This window comes from Homo sapiens, chromosome X (assembly GCF_000001405.40).
Source record: "Homo sapiens chromosome X, GRCh38.p14 Primary Assembly".
In the NCBI taxonomy this organism is placed as follows: Eukaryota; Metazoa; Chordata; class Mammalia; order Primates; family Hominidae; genus Homo; species Homo sapiens.
This window is the reverse complement of record NC_000023.11, coordinates 63,095,785-63,115,861: the sequence shown is the minus strand read 5'-3', so window position 1 is coordinate 63,115,861 and position 20,077 is coordinate 63,095,785. Positions and strand designations below refer to the sequence as shown.

The following is a 20,077-nucleotide window of genomic DNA, read 5'->3' as shown; positions in this document are numbered from 1 at the left end:
AAAAAATCCATTTTGGTTAGGATCCCTTGCTAGAGAGATTATATAATCTTTTGGGGGCATCAAAATATTCTGTTTGCTTTTACTGCTGAAGTTCTTATGCTGATTTATTCTCACGTGGACTGTCACTTCTTATTTTTGAGTTTGCTTTCCTTTAAAGAGGACTTTTTAATTTTTTATTCTTTTCTTTCTTGAGATGTGACAGTAATTTATGTTGTTTATGCTTGTCTTCAATTTTGGGTGATTTCTGAAGATCAAGGCTTGTATTAAGTTCGTTGGTTATAGGTAGATTTTTGTGTGTGTGTGGTGGCTTTCTCATCCTGTTTCCTAGTATTATGTCCTTCTGTCAGCACATTTTTATTTGGGTGTGCAGTTTAATCTCTATTCCATTAGGTGGCACTTACAAATGAGCTCACCCCTAGATAGCTAGGTGACAAGTAAAAGCACCCTCCCTGATGTTGGTGGCAGGGTGAGCTCATGGTGGGATGGGCTGTGGTCTCTGTGGTGGAAGGAAGAAGGGGCTGAACCATCTTCTCATCCTGAGAAGGCAGGAACATGACCAACTTTCTTACCACACTCTTGTCCTAGGTTTCATGACTTTTAGTTCAAATAGACACTGTCCTTTTTTTCCAGGCCACAGTGGAACTTAGATCTGTGGAAAATGCCCATCTGGCAGGTACCCCATAAATGACTTTGGGACAGAACCTCTTCTCTCAGGAAATGGCAGACAGCTCTGTGGCTGTTCTGCACTCACTGCAGGAATATAGAGAGGGGGTGATAAGCCCCATCCATTATGCAAGTCTGGGAATGCATACTGCAGACTTTCAGTGGTAATGCCGCTGCCCCAGATAGTGCTGAAAAGTTTGTGTCTGAGTGCATTGATATCAAGCCCTAGTAGGAAACGTAACAGCTACATTCATAGCAGTGGATCAGTGGACTGGAAGGAGACCTCCTCTCTATGACCCTTTTGGGACACTGGTGTTCCCTGTCCACCCTGTTGGAACAACACTCCCCCCCATTCACAGATAAGCACTAAGCCTTCATCTCTCTATGCTTGGAGAAGCACACTTTGGTCACAAGCAGGGGGCTCTTGGGCAGGGAAGGGCTTGTAATCAACTTTCCTCTGTCCTAGTGGGTGCTTTCATGAGCTGTGCTCCCCTTTCCTCCAGGGTTGTCCCATACCGAAGGATAGTTCTTCAGGGATCCTAAGGTCCCCAGAATCCTGCCAGTTCCCTGTGGTTGCCAGAGTCAGAGAAGTTTTTGGTAAATATTTGTGGAGAATCTAGGGATGCAGAGACACAAGGGCTGAGATTCCCTGGGCAGGATAGTGTCCCACAATGAGTGCACAACCAGAATGCCAACCAACACCTTAGCTCAAGTTTGAAGAGAAATGAATGAACCTGTGCAAGTTGGTTGCCTGATGTTCTGCTCTCAAAAACTTTTCAACTCTCTGTCAACAATGGCAATGATGCCTGGGCATACAGGGCAGAGGGTTTTTATGATAACTTGGCAGTCAGCAGTCTGCCACAGGGGTGAGGGAAGCAAAGAAATGCCTCCATCTCCTATGTCCACATGCTCTTTCTATATTTAACTTTTATTTTAAGCTCAGGGGTACGTGTGTACATTTGTTACATAGGTAAACTTGTGTCATGAGGGATTGTTGTCCAGATTATTTCATCACTCAGGTATTAAGCCAAGTACTCATTAGTTATTTTTCCTGGTCTCTCTCTTCCCACCCTCCATCCTCCAATAGATTCCAGTGTGTGTTGTTCTCTTCTATGTGCCCTTGTGTTATCATTTTAGCTCCCACTTATAAGTGAGAACTTGCAGTATTCAGTTTTCTGTTCCAGTATTAGTTTGCTAAGAATAATGGCCTCCAGCTCCATCCATGTTCCTGCAAAGCATGTTATCTCATTCTTTTTATGGTTTCTTAGTATTCCATGCTGTATATGTACCACATTTTCTTTATCCAGTCTACTGTTGATGGGGATTTAAGTTGATTCCAGGTCTTTGCTATTGTGAATAGTGCTGTGATGAACATACCTATGCATATGTCTTTATGATAGAATAATTTATATTCCTTTGGGTCTATACCCAGTAATGGTATTACTGGGTGAAATGGTAATTATGTTTTTAGGTCTTGAAGGAATCACCACACTGTCTTTCACGATAGTTTAACTAACTTGCACTCCCACCAACAGTGTATAAGTGTTCGCTTTTCTTTGCAACCTTACCAGCACCTGTTACTTTTTTGTCTTTTTAAGAATAGCCTTTCTGATTGGTGTGAGATGGTATCTCATTGTGGTTTTGATTTGAATTTCTCTAATGAGGAGTGATGTTGAACTTCTTAAATATGATTTTTGGCTATGTGTATGCCTTCTTTCAAAAAGTGTCTCTTCATGTTGCTTGCCTACTTTAAAACTGTTTTTTTTTCTTGTAAGTTTGTTTAAGTTTCTTATAGATGCTGGATATCAGGCCTTTGTCAGATGCATAGTTTGCAAATATTTCTTCCTGTTCTGTAGGTTGTCTGTTCACTGTGTTGACAGTTTCTTTTGCTGTGCCGAAACTCTTCAGCTTAATTAGACCCCATTTGTCCATTTTTGCTTATATTGCAATTGCTTTTAATGTCTTCATCATAAAATCTTTGCCCATTTCTTTATCCAGAATGGTATTGACTAGGTTGTCTTCAAGGTTTAGGGTTTTACATTTAAATCTTTAATCCACCTTCCGTTAACTATGTGCATGGTATAAGAAATGGGTCAAAATTCAATCTTCTGCATATGGCTAGCCAGTTATCCCAGCACCATTTATCGAATAGGGAGTCCTTCTCCATTGGTTGTTTTTCTTTTTCCAGCTTTGTTGAAAATCGGATAGTTGTAAGTGTGTGGCCTTATTTCCTGGTTCTCTATACTGTTTTATCGGTCTATGTGACTGTTTTTGCAGCAATATAATGCTGTTTTGATTTCTGTAGCCGTTTAGTGTAATTTGAAGTGGAGTAACATGATGCCACTCTTTTTAAATTAGGATTCCCTTGGCTATTCAGGCTCTTTTTTGGTTTTGTATGAATTTTAAAATAGTATTTTCTAGTTCTCTGAATAATATCATTGGTAGTTGAACAGCAATAGCATTGAATCTATAAATTGCTTTAGGCAGTATAGCCATTATTCTTCCTAACTATGAGCATGGAATGATTTTTCATTTGTTTGTGTCATCTCTGATTTATTTGAGAAGTGCTTCGTAGTTCTCCTTTTGGAGGTCTTTTACCTCCTTGATTAGATATATTCCTAGGTATTTTATTTTTTGTGTGTGGCAATTGCGAATAAGATCACATTCCTAATTTGGCTCTTGGCTTCAATATTTTTGATATATAGGAGTGCTAATGACTTCTGTACATTGGTTTGTATCCTGAGACTTTGTTGAAGTTGTTCATCAACTTAAGAAGTTTTTGGGCCAAGACTATAGGGCTTTCTAGTAATAGCATTATGTCATCTGCAAGCAGGAACCGTTGGACTTCTTTTTTTCCTATTTGGATGTGCTTTATTTCTATCTCTTGCCTGACTGCCCTGGCCAGGACTTCCAAAGCTAATTTGAATAGGGGTGGTGAGAGAGGGCATCTTTATTCTTGTGCTTGTTTTCAAGGGGAATGCTTCTGGCTTTTGCCCATTCATTATGATGTTGGCTGAGGGTTTGTCATAAATGGCTCTTATTATTTTGCTGTATGTTCCCTCAATAACTAGTCTATTGAGAGTTCTTTTTAATATAAAATGTGTTGAATTTTATCAAAAGTCTTTTCTGCATATATTGAGATAATCATGTGGTTTTTGTCTTTAGTTCTGTTTATATGATGAATCACCTTTTTTTATCTGCATATGTTGAAGGAACTTTGCATTCCAGAGATAAAGCCTACTTGATTTTGGTGATTAAGCTTTTTGATGTGCTTCTGGATTCAGTTTGCTAGTATTTTGTTGAGAATTTTTGCATTAATGTTAATCAAAGATACTGCTTGAAATTTTCATTTATTGTTGTGTCTCTTCCAGGTTTCAGTATCAGAAAGATGCTGGCCTCAGAATGAGTTAGAGAGTACTCCTTCCTCCTCATTTTTTTTCGGAATAGTTTCTACAGGAATGGGACCAGCTCTTCTTTGTACCTATGGTGGAATTCAGCTTTGAATGTGTCTGGTCCTGGGCTTTTATTTTTTTGGTTGGTAGGCTATTTGTTACTGATTCAATTTCAGAGCTCGTTATTGGTTTGTTCAGGTATTTGAATTCTTCCTGGTTCAGTCTTGGGAGGTGTATGTGTCCAGGAATTTATCCAATTCTTCTAAATTTTATAATTTGTGCGCATAGAGATGTTTATAATATTCTCTGATGGTTATTTGTGTTTCTGTGGAGGTCAGTGGTAATATTCCCCTCATTCTCTTTGATTGTGTTTATTTTTATCTTTTCTCCTTTATTTCTTTATTAGTCTAGCTAGCAGTCTATTTTATTATTTTTTTCAAAAAACCAGCTCATGGATATGTTGATCTTTTAGATGTTTTTTGTGTCTCAATCTCCTTCAGTTTAGCTCTAGTTTTGGTTTTTTCTTGTCTACTGCCAGCTTGGGGTTAGTTTTCTCTTGGTTCTCTAGTAAATTTAGTTTTGATGTTAGGTTGTTAGCTTGTGATATTTCCAACTTTTTGATGTGGGCATTTAGTGCTGTAAATATTTCTCTCAGCACCACCTTAGCTCTTTCCAAGAGATTCTGGTATGTTGCATCTTTGTCTTCGTTAGTTTTAAAGAACTTCTTGATTTTTACCTTTATTTCATCATTTACCCAACAGTCATTTAGGAGTAGGTCATTCAATTTTCATGTAATTGTATAGTTTTGAGTGAATTTCTTAGTCTTGATTTCTAATTTAATTTTGGTATGGTCCAAGAGATTGTTTGTTATAATTTCAGCTCTTTTGCATTTGCTGAGGACTGTTTTATTTCTGATTATGTCATTGGTTTTAGAGTATGTGCCATGTGTCAATGAGAAGAATGTATATTCTATTTTTTTTTTTTTTTTTTTTTTGGTGGAGAGTCCTGTAGATGTCTATCAGGTCCATTTGATCCAGTGTTGAGTTCAGGCCCTGAATACCTTTGTTAATTTTCTGTCTCAGTGATCTGTCTAATGTTGTCAGTGAGGTGTTGAATTTTCTCACTGTTATTGTGTGGGAGTGTAAGTTTCTTTGACAGTCTCTAAGAACTTGCTTTATGAATCTGGGTGATCCTGTGTTGGGTAATTATGATAGTTGGCTCTTCTTGTTGAATCAAACCCTTTACCATTACGTAATGCCCTTCTTTGTCTTTTTTTTTTAATATTTGTTGGTTTAAAGACCATTTTGACTGAAACTCACAGTGCAACCCCTGCTGTTTTTCTGTATTTCATTTGCTTGGTAGATATTTCTCCATCTCTTTATTTTGAACCTATGTGTGTCACTGCATGTGAGATGTGTCTCTTAAAAACAGCATACCATTGCATCTTAATTATTTATCCAGATTGCCACTCTGTGCCTTTTATTTGAGACATTTAGCCCATTTCCATTTAAGATTAGTATTAATGTGTGTGGATTTGATCCTGTCATAATGATATTAACTGGATATTTTGCAGACTTTTTTATGTGGTTGCTTTATGGTTTCACTGGTCTGTATATTCAGTGTGTTTTTGTAGTGGCTAGTAGTGGTCTTTTAATATTTAGTGCTTCCTCAGGAGCTCTTATAAGACTGGTCTAGTGGTAACAAGTTACCTCAGCATTTGGTTGTCTGAAAACAATCTTATTTCTTCTTCACTTATGAAGCTTAGTTTTGTTTCCAGCAAAACATGAAATTCTGGGTTGGAATTTCTTTTCTTTAAGAATGTTAAATATTGTCCCTCAATCTCTTCTGGCTTGTAGTGTTTCTGCTGAGAGTTCTGCTGTTAGTCTTATGGCCTTCCCTTTGTAGGTAACCTAACCTTTCTCTCTAGCTGCTTTTAACATTTTTAGCATGATTTTGTATCTTGGGGATGATATTCTTGTAAAGTATCTTACTGGGGTTCTCTGCATTTCCTGAATTTGAATGTTTTCCTCTCTAGCTAGTTTGAGGAAGTTCTTGTGGATAATGTCTTGAAATATTTTTCCAAGTTGCTTACACTTTCCCCATCTCTTTTAGGGACACCAGTGAGTTACATATCTGGTCTCTTTACATAATCCCATATTTCTTGGTGGTTTTACTCATTCTTTTTTTTTCTCTCTGTTCTTGTCAGACTATCTTATTTCAGAAAGCCAGCCTTCAAACTCAGATTCTTTCCACTGCTTGGTCTATTCTGCTATTACTACTCGTGTTTGTATTATGAAATTCTTGTAGTGTGTTTCTCGGCTCTGACACAGATCATTTATATATTTTTTCTATACTTGCTATTTTGTCTGTCAGCTCCTGGATTGTTTTATCATAATTCTTAGCTTCCTTCAATTGGATTTTAATGTACTCCTTTAGCTAAATTATCTTTGTTTTTATTCATATTCTGAATATTATTTCTGTCATTTCAGCCATTTCAGTCCAGTTCAGAACCCTTGCTGGAAAGGTGATGTCATTTGAAGGAAAGAAGGCACTCAGGCTTTTTGAGATGTCAGAGTTATTGCACTGGTTCTTTCTCCTCTTTGTGAGATGATATTTTTTCAGTCTTTGAGGTTGCTGACCTTTGGATTTTTTTTCTCTATATTCTATTTGATGACCTTGAAAGTTTGATTGTGGTATAAGGTGGATTCAACTGACTAGCTTTGTTTCTGGAAGATTTTTTTAAATTTTTTTTTATTATACTTTAAGTTCTAGGGTACACGTGCACAACGTGCAGGTTTGTTACATATGTACAGATGTGCCATGCTCGTGTGCTGCACCCATTCACTCATCATTTATATTAGATATTTCTCCTAATGCTATCCCTCCCCTCTTCCCCCACCCCACGACAGGCCCCAGTGTGTGATGTTCCGCAGTCTGTGTCCAAGTGTTCTCATTGTTCAATTCCCACCTATCAGTGAGAACATGTGGTGTTTGGCTTTCTGTCCTTGTGATAGTTTGCTGAGATTGATGGTTTCCAGCTTCATCCAAGACCCTACAAAGGACATGAACTCATCCATTTTTATGACTGTATAGTATTCCATGGTGTATATGGGCCACATTTTCTTAATCCAGTCTATCATTGATGGACTTTTGGGTTGGTTCCAAGTCTTTGCTATTGTGAATAGTGCCGCAATAAACATACGTTTGCATATGTCTTTATAGCAGCATGATTTACAATTCTTTGGGTATATACGCAGTAATGAGATTGCTGGGTCAAATTGTGTTTCTATTTCTAGATCTTTGAGGAATCACCACACGGTGTTCCACAATGGCTGAAGTAGTTTACAGTCCCACCAACAGTGTAAAAGTGTTCCTATTTCTCCACATCCTCTCCAGCACCTGTTTTTTCCTGACTTATAATAATCACCATTCTAACTGGTGTGAGATGGTATCTCATTGTAGTTTTGATTTGCATTTCTCTGGTGACCAGTGATAATGAGCATTTTTTCATGTGTCTGTTGGCTGCATAAATGTCGTCTTCTGAGAAGTGTCTGTTCATATCCTTCACCCATTTGTTGATGGGGTTGTTTGTTTTTTTCTTGTAAATTTGTTTAAGTTCATTTTAGATTCGGGATATTAGCCCTTTGTCAGATGGGTAGATTGCAAAAATTTTCTCTCATTCTCTAGGTTGCCTGTTCACTCTGATGGTAGTTTCTTTTGCTGTGCTGAAGCTCTTTAGTTTAGTTATATCCCATTTGTCAATTTTGGCTTTCGTTGCCATTGCTTTTGGTGTTTTAGACATGAAGTCCTTGCCCATGCCTATGTCCTGAATGGTATTGCCTAGGTTTTTTTCTAGGGTTTTTATGGTTTTAGGTCTAACATGTAAGTCTTTAATCCATCTTGAATTAATTTTTGTATAAGGTGTAAGGAAGGGATCCAGTTTCAGCTTTTTACATATGGTAGCCAGTTTTCCCAGCACCATTTATTAAATAGGGAATAATTTCCCCATTTCTTGTTTTTGTCAGGTTTGTCAAAGATCAGATGGTTGTAGATGTGTGACATTATTTCTGAGGGCTCTGTTCTGTTCCATTGGTCTACATCTCTGTTTTGGAACCAGTACCATGCTGCTTTGGTTAATGTAACCTTGTAGTATAATTTGAAGTCAGGTAGAGTGATGCCTCCAGCTTTGTTCTTTTGGCTTAGGATTGTCTTGGCAATGCGGGCTCTTTTTTGGTTCCATATGAACTTTAAAGTAGTTTTTTCCAGTTCTGTGAAGAAAGTCATTGGTAGCTTGATGTGGATGGCACTGAATCTATGAATTACCTTGGGCAGTATGGCCATTTTCACGATATTGATTCTTCCTACCCATGAGCATGGAATGTTCTTCCATTTGTTTGTGTCCTCTTTTATTTCATTGGGCAGTGGTTTGTAGTTCTCCTTGAAGAGGTCTTTCACATCCCTTGTAAGTTAGATTCCTAGGTATTTATTCTCTTTGAAGCAATTGTGAATGGGAGTTCACTCATGATTTGGCTCTCTGTTTGTCTGTTATTTGTGTATAAGAACGTTTGTGGTTTTTGCACATTGATTTTGTATCCTGAGACTTTGCTGAAGTTGTTTATCAGCTGAGATGATGGGGTTTTCTAGATATACAATCATGTCACCTGCAAACAGGGACAATTTGACTTCCTCTTTTCCTAATTGAATACCCTTTATTTCTTTCTCTTGCCTCATTGCCCTGGTCAGAAATTCCAATGGTATATTGAATAGGAGTGGTGAGAGAGGGCATCCCTGTCTTGTGCCAGTTTTCAAAGGGAATGCTTCCAGTTTTTGCCCATTCAGTATGATATTGGCTTTGGGTTTGTCATAAATATATCTTATTATTTTGAGATACGTCCCATCAATACCTAGTTTATTGAGAGTTTTTAGCATGAAGTACTGTTGAATTTTGTCAAAGGCCTTTTCTGCATCTATTGAGATAATCATGTGTTTTTTGTCTTTGGTTCTGTTTATGTGGTGGATTACATTTATTGATTTTCATATGTTTAACCAGCCTTGCATCTCAGGGATGAAGCCACCTTGATCGTTGTGGGTAAGCTTTTTAATGTGCTGTTAGATTTGCTTTGCCAGTATTTTACTGAGGATTTTCACATCAATGTTCATCAGGGATATTGGCCTAAATTCTCTTTTTTTGTTGTGTCTCTGCTGGGCTTTGGTTTCAGGAAGATGCTGCCCTCATACAATGAGTTAAGGAGGATTCCCTCTTTTTCTATTGATTGGAATAGTTTCAGAAGGAATGGAACCAGCTCCTCCTTGTATCTCTGGTAGAATTTTGCTGTGAATCCATCTGGTCCTGGACTTTTTTTGGTTGGTATTCTATTAATTATTGCCTCAATTTCAGAGCTTGTTATTGGTCTATTCAGGGATTCAACTTCTTCCTGGTTTAGTCTTGGGAGAGTATATGTGTCCAGGAATTTATCCGTTTCTTCTAGATTTTCTAGTTTATTTGCATAGAGGTGTTTATAGTATTCTCTGGTGGTAGTTTGTATTTCTGTGGGATCGGTGGTGTTAGCCCCTTTATCATTCTTTATTGTGTCTATTTCATTCTTCTCTCTTTTCTCCTTTATTAGTCTTGGTAGTGGTCTATCCATTTTGTCGATCTTTTCAAAAAACCAACTCCTGGATTCATTGATTGTTTGAAGGGATTTTTGTGTCTCTATCTCCTTTTTTTCTGCTCTGATCTTCGTGATTTCTTGCCTTCTGCTATCTTTTGAATGTGTTTGCTCTTGTTTCTCTAGTTCTTTTAATTGTGAAGTTAGGGTGTCAATTTTAGATCTTTCCTGCTTTCTCTTGTGGGCATTTAGTGCTCTAAATTTCCCTCTACACACTGCTTATATGTGTCCCAGGGATTCTGGTATGTCGTGTCTTTGTTCTTGTTGGTTTCAAAGAACATCTTTATTTCTGCCTTCATTTCGTTATTTACCCAGTAGTCATTCAAGAGCAGGTTGTTCAGTTTCCTTGTAGTTGTGTGGTTTTGAGTGAGTTTCTTAATCCTGAGTTCCAATTTGATTGCACTGTGGTCTGAGAGACAGTTTGTTATAGCTTCCATTCTTTTAGATTTGCTGAGGAGTGCTTTCCTTCCAACTATGTGGTCATTTTTGGAATAAGTGCGATGTGGTGCTGAGAATGTATATTCTGTTGATTTGGGGTGGTGAGTTCTGTAGATGTCTATTAGGTCCGCTTGGTGTAGAGCTGAGCGCAATTCCTGGATATCCTTGTTAACTTTCTGTCTCATTGATCTGTCTAATGTTGACAATGGGGTGTTAAAGTCTCGCATTATTTTTGTGTGAGAGTCTAAGTCTCTTTGTGTGTCTTTAAGGACTTGCTTTATGAATCTGGGTGCTCCTGTATTGGGTGCATATATATATAGGATAGTTAGCTCTTCTTGTTGAATATCAATTCGATTTCCTTTTACCATTTACCATTATGTAATGGCCTTCTTTGTTTCTTTTGATCTTTGTTGGCTTAAAGTCTGTTTTATGAGAAACTAGGATTGCAACCCTGCTATTTTGTTTTCCATTTGCTTGGTAGATCTTCCTCCATCCCTTTATTTTGAGCCTATGTGTGTCTCTGCATGTGAGATGTATCTGCTGAATACAGCACACTGATGCGTCTTGACTTTTTATCCAGTTTGCTAGTTTGTGTCTTTTAATTGGGGCATTTAGCCCATTTACATTTAAGGTTAATATTGTTATGTGTGAATTTGATCCTGTCATTATGATGTTAGCTGGTTATTCACTCATTAGTTGTTGCAGTTTCTTCTTAGCATCAATGGTCTTTACATTTTGGCGTGTTTTTGCAGTGGCTGGTACCGGTTGTTCCTTTCCATGTTTAGTGTTTCCTTCGGGAGCTCTTGTAAGTCAGGGCTGGTGGTGACAAAATCTCTCAGCATTTGCTTGTCTGTAAAGGATTTTATTTTCCTTCACTTATGAAGCTTAGTTTGGCTGGATACGAAATTCTGGGTTGAAAATTCTTTTCTTTAAGAATGTTGAATATTGGCCCCCACTCTCTTCTGGCTTGTAGAGTTTCTGCTGAGAGATCCGCTGTTAGTCTGATGGGCTTCCCTTTGTGGATAAACCGGCCTTTATCTCTGGCTGCCCTTAACATTTTTTCCTTCATTTCAACCTTGATGAATCTGACAATTATGTGACTTGGGGTTTCTCTTCTCGAGCAGTATCTTTGTGGCATTCTCTGCATTTCCTGAATTTGAATGTTGGCCTGCCTTGCTAGGTTGGGGAATTTCTCCTGGATAATATCCTGCAGAGTGTTTTCCAACTTGGTTCCATTCTCCCTGTCACTTTCAGGTATACCAATCAAAAGTAGATTTGGTCTTTTCACGTAGTCCTATACTTCTTGGAGCTTTTGTTCATTTCTTTTTACTCTTTTTTCTTTAAACTTCTTTTCTCACTTCATTTCATTCATTTGATTTTAATCACTGATACCCTTTCTTCCACTTGATTGAATCGGCTACTGAAACTTGTTCATGTGTCACGTAGTTCTTGTGCCTTGGTTTTCAGCTCTTTCAGGTCATTTAAGTTCTTCTCTATGCTGTTTATTCTAGTTAGTCATTCATCTAATCTTTTTTCAAGGTTTTTAGCTTCTTTTTGATAGGTTTGAACATCCTCCTTAGCTTGGAGAAGTTTTTTATTACCAATCTTCTGAAGCCTACTTTTGTCAACTCATCAAAATCATTCTCTGTCCAGCTTTGTTCCATTGCTGGTGAGGAGCTGTGTTCCTTTGGAGGAGAAGAGGCACTCTGATTTTTAGAATTTTCAGATTTTTATTCTGGTTTCTCCCCATCTTTGTGGTTTTATCTACCTTTGGTCTTTGATGATGGTGACCTACTGATGGGGTTTGATGTGGATGTCCTTTTTGTTGATGTTAATACTATTCCTTTCTGTTTGTTAGTTTTCCTTCTAGTAGTCAGGACCCTCAGCTGCAGGTCTGTTGGAGGTTGCTCGAGGTACACTGCAGACCTTCTTTGCCTGGGTATCACCAGCAGAGGCTTCAGAACAGCTAATATTGCAGAATAGCAAATGTTGCTGCCTGATCCTTCCTCTGGAAGCTTTGTCTCAGAAGAGCACCTGGCTTATGAGGTACCAGTCTGCCCCTACTAGGAGGTGTCTCCCAGTTAGGCTACTCGGGGGTCCGTGACCCACTTAAGGAGGCAGTCTGTCCATTCTCAGATCTCAAACTCCATGCTTGGAGAACCACTACTCTCTTCAAAGCTGTCAGACAGGGATGTTTAAGTCTGCAGAAGTTTCTGCTGCCTTTTGTTCAGCTATGCCCTGCCCCGAGAGGTGGAGTCTACAGAGGCAGGCAGGCCTCATTTAGCTGCAGTGGGCTCCACCCAGTTCAAGCTTCCCAGCTGCTTTGTTTACCTAGTCAAGCCTCAGCAATGGTGGACGCCCCTCACCCAGCATCGCTGCCACCTCATAATTCCATCTGGGACTGCTGTGCTAGCAGTGAGCAAGGCTCTGTGGGCATGGGACCCGCTGAGCCATGCTGAGGATATAATCTCCTGGTGTGCTGTTTGTGAAGACCATTGGAAAAGCAGTATCAGGGCAGGAGTGTCTCGATTTTCCGGGTACTGTCTGACACAGCTTCCCTTGGCTAGAAAAGTGAATTCCCCAACTGCTTGTGCTTCCCAGGTGAGGCGATGCCCCACCCTGCTTTGGCTCAAACTCCATGGGCTGCACTCACCGTCCAACAAGTCCCAGTGAGAAGAACCTGGTACCTCAATTGGAAATGCAGAAATTACCCTGTCTTTTGCGTCGCTCACACTGGGAGCTGTAGGCTGGAGCTGTTCCTATTCGGTCATCTTGGAGCAGCATCCTATTTCTGGAAGATTTTATAGGGCCAACACTTAGCTCCCAACTTCTGGACTATGTGCTCTAACTGTGGGGGACTTGTATTAGTTCCTGATTTGTTCTCTGGCTCTTTGACATTAGGAATACACTGTTCTGGGATGTCCGATGTTCTTTTGGACCACTGGACACTCTACTCTGATGGTTGGTTTCAGTTAAAGCATTTCCTAGTGTGGTATCATTGAGATCTGTCCTTGTTTGTATGTGCTAGCAGCAGTGGTAGTGGCAGTATAGTTGGGTTCATGTTCATCAGCTGTGCAGGGTGCTAGTGGGTGCTAGGTTGCCTACCTCCCTGTGGGCGTTCCCCACCATGGCAGAGGCAAAGCAGCTGTGGGCGCCAGGGGCCCCTTCTGGTGACTTTTTGCGTGGTCATGTTTGTGATGACGTTGGATCAGAGGCAGTGTTCTGGCAAGTGTGGGTCTATCTGCCTTCTCTGTGCACAGCAAGCAGGAGTGGTTGCTTAGGGCGGGGGATAATCTGTTCTTCTCTGTGCCTAGTTTCACTACTGTGACAGTTTTGACACAAGGGTGGGGTGCTTGTGGGTGCAGGGCTGGCTGACTCTGTTCCTGCCAAGGCTCCATCTGCAATGTTAGTTGGTAGGGGTCAGGGTGTGAACTGCACTCCTGCCACATCAGTGGCAGGGCAGGGTGCATACACACTTACTTGCTGGCAGGGCAAGGAAATCAAAACTCACCCACACAGAAATGCATCAGCAAAGTGATTTGGAGACTTTCTTTAGGTTCAGGGAAAGTGGCAGTGTGGGGAGGGAGTGTGCCAAATGGTGTGTGACTGTGGGGCCACTGGTGTTCTCTGTTAGTCACGTATGGTCTGCTGCTACACAGATGCTATGTTGCTGGCCTCCAGACCACCTAAGGTTGCCCTGCAAGCAGGCATGGCCAGGCTGGGGCCACAGGAGAGGCTAGCAGACCATGGGTCGCTCAGGTCAGAGCAGCCTCGTCTGATGAAGAACATCCTGCAGTGTTTGGCAGAGAGTTTCCCTAGGGCTAAAGTGTTCTATGGGAGCAAGTTGAATCCAGTGGGGATGGCCATCACTGGTCATGCTCTGCTACAGACACTCCCATACCAAACCCTCTAGGGTCCACATTAGCTGTCTTGCTTCCCCTACCACTTCTCTAAGCAGCTTTCCCGCTGACTCAAGTGTCCATGGTGATTGAGGATTCTCCCCCTGCTGGGATTCCAGGGGCCTAGGGAGAGAGACAGTTGCTTCTTGCCCGTTCAATTCACCCATTTCCTGGGAGTCACTGGGGCCAGAAACAAGCCCAGATGCACAGTAGCCCCATATAGAGTTTCCAGCTTTCTGTTCCTTCAGCCCAGCTTCTGTTTGTTCCTTCCGTCTACTATTGGTGCTTTTTCTCTGTAGATCTGTTAAGAGTAGGCCAGTCATCTTTGTCCCTCAGTGGCGGCTTTTCCACCAGGCTGCGCCTAGTCAGCCATCTTGTCCTCTCAAGCCTCACTTGTTTATTTTAGCTTTTGTGTCCTTTCTTTTTATTTTTATTTTCAGGGACAGAGTCTCGCTCTTTGCCCACGCTGGAGTGTAGTGGCACAATCTCGGCTCACTGCAACCTCTGCCTCCTGGGTTCAAGCAATTCTCCTGCCTCAGCCTCCAGAGGAGCTGGGACTACAGGTGCATGCCGCCACGCCTGGCTAATTGTGTGTGTGTGTGTGTGTGTGTGTGTGTATTTTAGTAGAAACGGGGTTTCACCTTGTTGCCCAGGCTGATCTTCAACTCCTGAGATCAGGCAATCCCCCAGCCTCGGCCTCCCAAAGTGTTAGAATTACAGTCGTGAGCCGTCATGCACTGCGGTTTTGTTCTTTTTCTTTTTTTTTTGAGACGGAGTTTCACTCTTGTTACCTGCTCATGCCTGTAATCCCAGCACTTTGAGAGGCCGAGGTGGGTGGATAACCTCAGGTCAAGAGTTCGAGACCAGCCTGGCCAACATGGTGAAAACCTCTCTCTACTAAAAACACAAAAAATTAGCTGGGCCTTGTGCCGGGCACCTGCAATGCCAGCTACTCAGTAGGCTGAGGCAGGAGAATTGCTTGAACCCGGGAGGTGGAGGTTGCAGTGAGCCAAGATCACACCACTACACTCCAGCCTGGGCAACAAGAGTGTCACCTTTCAAAAAAAATAATTTCCATGACTAATGCCAGAAAATTCTTTTCTATACTTTTTCCAAATGTTTTACAGTTTCAGGTCTTATGTTAGATTTTCAAACCATTTTGAGTTTATTTTCTGTGTATGATATATTAATAGGTGTCAAATTTCATTCATTTTTATGTAAATATTCATTAGTCCTGGTACTTTTTGAAGAGACTGATATGGGAGTTAAGAAGAAATTATTGAGAAAGATCGTGAGGGTAAGGAAGTCCTTGGTAAAGTTTTCCTTTTAATGAAAAGCAGCCTCTAAATCATTTTCTTTTCTAACAAAGAGCAGCCTTTAAAATCGAGATACAGACATAGACAAGCAAGCTGGAGGATTGTACGGGTGAAAGCCAGCAGCTGTGCCAATAAGAAAAGGCTACCTGGGGGCTAGGCATGTCCAATATGGTGGCTCCATCTTTCCCTTGTCAACCACGTGCACAATAAGGAGCAGACAACATGACAGGGGTCAAGTAAAGACACCATTTGCATGGTAAGATTAGTGTGGGGTGTCCACCTTCCCTGTGTGTTATGTAAACATCACACCTGGTCCAACCAATTTTGGGCCCTATGTAAATCAGACACCACCTCCTCAAGCCTTTCTGTAAAATCTGGTGCACTCTGCCACGGCCGGAAATCCCATTCTGGCACCCCTCTCTCTCCCAGGAGGGGGAGCTATTCTCCTTTCTCTTTATTTGGCCTATTAAACCTCCACTCTTAAATTCACTCCTTGTGTGTGTCTGCATCCTTAATTTTCTTGGTATGAAGCAGTGAACCTTGGATATCACACCAGAAAATGATGCCACTTCATTGTGTTTTCTTGATGACTATATCAAATAGTAATTATCCATATATGTTTGAGTTTACTTCTGGGCTCTCTATGCTGTTTTATTTTTCTATAAATATGTATTTCTTCAAACATCATTATGTTTGAATAAGAATTAATTTTAATACATTATAACTGCATATGAGGTATATCAGATTTAGATAGATGCATACAATGTGTATTAATCAAACCAGGGTATTCAGGATATTCATCACTTCAGTCTTTGATCATTTATTTCTGTTTAGAATATTACAAATCTTCTCTTCTACCTATTTTGAAATATGCAATAAATTATCACAAATGTCACTCTACTATGATATTGAAACTAGAATATTTTTCTTTTATTCAACTGTATTTCTGTTCACATTGATAAACCTATCTTCATTTCTCCCTTGCCCTACACTACCCTGCCATCAGGAGCCATCATTTCTTTCTCCAGCTCCTTGATACCAACTTTTTCTAACTCCCACATTTGACAGAGTGCATGTGATAGTTGCCTATTTGTGCCTGGCTTATTTCATTTGATATAATGTCTTCCAGGTTAAACCATGATTCTGCAAATGACAAGATACTATTTTTTATAGCTGAATACTATTGTAACATACACATATATGTGTGTATATATATATATATATATATATATATATATATCACATTTTAGATCCATTTATTCATTGGTAAACAAAGTTCGATTCCATATCTTGACTATTGTAAAAAGTGTTATGATAAATATGAGAGTGTGAATATTTCTCTTGGTTTGAGGCAGGGCCTTGCTCTGTTGTCCAGGCTAGAGTGCAGTGGTGTAATCATGGCTTACTGCAGCCTTAAACTCCCTGGTTTAAGCAATCCTTCCAACTCAGATACCTGAGTTGCTGGGAAAAGTGTGTACCACCACTCCCATCTTATCTCTTCAATATAATTACTTCTTTTTGATGTATACTCAGCAGTGAGATTGGTGGATCATACAGCAATCCTATTTTTAGTTTTTAAAGGAGACGCTATACTGTTTTTCATAATGGCTGTATTAATATACATACATATTCACAGTGTACTAGCGTTTTTCTTTCTTTCCATCTTTGTAAGCATCTCTTTTTTTTTTTTCCTTCTTGATAACAGCTGTTTTAACTGGGGACATTGTGGTTTTAATTTGCATTTCCCTGATGATTAGTAATGTTGAGCAGTTTTTCATATATGTTTTGGCCATTTGTGTGTCATCTTTTGAGATACGTTGAGATCATTTGTTCATTTTTAATCATATTATTTCATTTTTTTGCTGTTGAGTTGTATGACTTCCTTACATATTGTGGTTATTAATTTCTTGTTAACAGTTTGCAAATATTTTCTCCCATTATATAGCTTGGCTATTTCTGAGAATTGGTTTCTTTGATGTGGAGAAGCTTTTTAACTTGATGCAATCCTGTTTGTCTATTTTTGATTTATTTAACTGTGCTTTTGAAGACTTACCAAAAATTTTCGCCAAAACAAATAGCCTACAGCATTTTCCCAATTTTTTTTCTAGTAGTTTTATAGTTTTGGGTCTGATATTTAAGAATATCATCCATTTTTATTTGACTTTTGTACATTATGAGACATAGGGATTTATTTGCATTTTTCTACACGTGAAAATTCATTTTTTCTACCACCATTTATTGAAGACTGTGGTTTTTGAGAATTACTTTTGATGTCTCTATCAAAAATGAGTTGACTCTGAATGTATAGATATATTTCCAGACTGCCTATTCTATTTCATTGGTCTATGTGTCTATTTATTTTGCGAGTACCATGCTGTTTGGTTACCTTGACTTTGAAGCATATTTTGAAGTCAAATAGTATGACTATTTTAACTTTGTTTTTCTTTTGTTTGGTTTGGTTGTTGTTCAAGATCGCTTTGTCTATTTGGGATCTTTTTTTGGTTAGAGAGATGTTTTAAGATTATTATTCTATTTCTCTGAAACATATGGTTTGAATTTTAATAGAGATTAGATTGAATCTGTAAATTGCTTTAGGTAGTATGGACATTTTGAACACTATAAATAATTCTAATCTATAAACAAAGACCAACTTTTTCATTTAATAGTGACTTCTTCATTTTCTTTCATTAATTTTCTTTTCACTTTGCAATGTAGACATTTTTCACTTCTTTGTTTAAATTTATTGTAGGCCATTTAATTTTTGTAGCTATTGTAACTGGCATTGCTTTCTTTTTTTTAGATTGTTTACTGTTGGCATATAAAAATGCTACTAATTTCATATGTTGACGTTTTTATACTGAAGCATTACTGAATTTGTTTACAAGTTCTAACAATTTTATGGTGGTATTCTTATTTGGTTTTTGTGTGAAAAAAATGTTTGCTTTGGGTCTGGAGTGGACCTCCAGTAAACTCCAACAGACCTGAAGCTGAGAGTCCTGACTGATAGAAGGAAAACTAACAAACAGAAAGGACATCCACACCAAAAACCCATCTGTACATCACCATCATCAAAGACCAAAGGTAGACAAAACCACAAAGATGGGGAAAAAACAGAGCAGAAAACCGGAAACTCTAAAAATCAGAGTGCCTCTCCTCCTCCAAAGGAACGCAGTTCCTCATAAGCAATGGAACAAAGCTGGATGGAGAATGACTTTGACGAGTTGAGAGAGGAAGGCTTCAGAAGATCAAACTACTCTGAGCTAAAGGAGGAAGTTCGAACCAATGGCAAAGAAGTTAAAAAGTTTGAAAAAAAAATTAGACGAAGGGATAGCTAGAATAACCAATGCAGAGAAGTCCTTAAAGGACCTGATGGAGCTGAAAACCACGGCACGAGAACTACGTGATGAATGCACAAGCCTCAGTAAATGATGCGATCAACTGGAAGAAAGGGTATTAGTGATGGAAGATGAAATGAATGAAATGAAGCATGAAGAGAAGTTTAGAGAAAAAAGAATAAAAACAGATGAAGAACGCCTCCAAGAAATCTGGGACTATGTGAAAAGACCAAATCTATGTCTGATTGGTGTACCTGAAAGTGACGGGGAGAATGGAACCAAGTTGGAAAACACTCTGAAGGATATATCCAGGAGAACTTCCCCAATCTAGCAAGGCAGGCCAACATTCAAATTCAGGAAACACAGAGAAAGCCACAAAGATACTCCTCGAGAAGAGTAACTCCAAGACACATAATTGTCAGATTCACCAAAGTTGAAATGAAGGAAAAAATGTTAAGGGCAGCCAGACAGAAAGGTCAGGTTACCCACAAACAGAAGCCCATCAGACTAACAGCGGATCTCTCAGCAGAAACTTTGCAAGCCAGAAGAGAGTGGGGGCCAATATTCAACATTCTTAAAGAGAAGAATTTTCAACCCAGAATTTCATATCCAGCCAAACTAAGCTTCATAAGTGAAGGAGAAATAAAATCCTTTACAGACAAGCAAATGCTGAGAGATTTTGTCACCACCAGGCCTGCCCTAAAAGAGCTCCTGAAGGAAGCACTAAAAATGGAAAGGAACAACCGAACAACCGGTACCAGTCACTGCACAAACATGCCAAATTGTAAAGACCATCAAGGCTAGGAAGAAACTGCATCAACTAACAAGCAAAATAACCAGCTAACATCATAATGACAGGATCAAATTAACACATAAAAATACTAACCTTAAACGTAAATGGGTTAAATTCTCCAATTAAAAGGCACAGACAGGCAAATTGCAAAAAGAGACAAGACCCATCAGTGTGCTGTATTCAGGAAACCCATCTCACATGCAGAGATACACACAGGCTCAAAATAAAGGGATGGAGGAAGATCCACCAAGCAAATGGAAAACAAAAAAAGGGCAAGGGGTTGCAATCCTAGTCTCTGATAAAACAGACTTGAAACCAAAAAAGATCAAAAGAGACAAAGAAGGCCATTACATAATGGTAAAGGGATCAATTCAACAAGAAGAGCTAACTATCCAAAAAATATATATGCACCCAATACAGGAGCACCCAGATTCATAAAGCAAGTCCTGGGTGACCTACAAAGAGACTTAGACTCCCACACAATAATAATGGGAGACTTTAACACCCCACTGTCAACATTAGACAGATCAAAAAGACACAAAGTTAACAAGGATATCCAGGAATTGAACTCA

The 20,077-nt window shown here is 39.4% G+C and overlaps 1 annotated feature.

Moving 5' to 3' along the window:
- Positions 480-529: an enhancer, noted in NCBI's record as "active region_29704". NCBI's record gives its function as "activates an Ori minimal core promoter by ATAC-STARR-seq in GM12878 lymphoblastoid cells {active_cell/tissue: GM12878}" and the evidence as "EXISTENCE:reporter gene assay evidence [ECO:0000049][PMID:35858748]".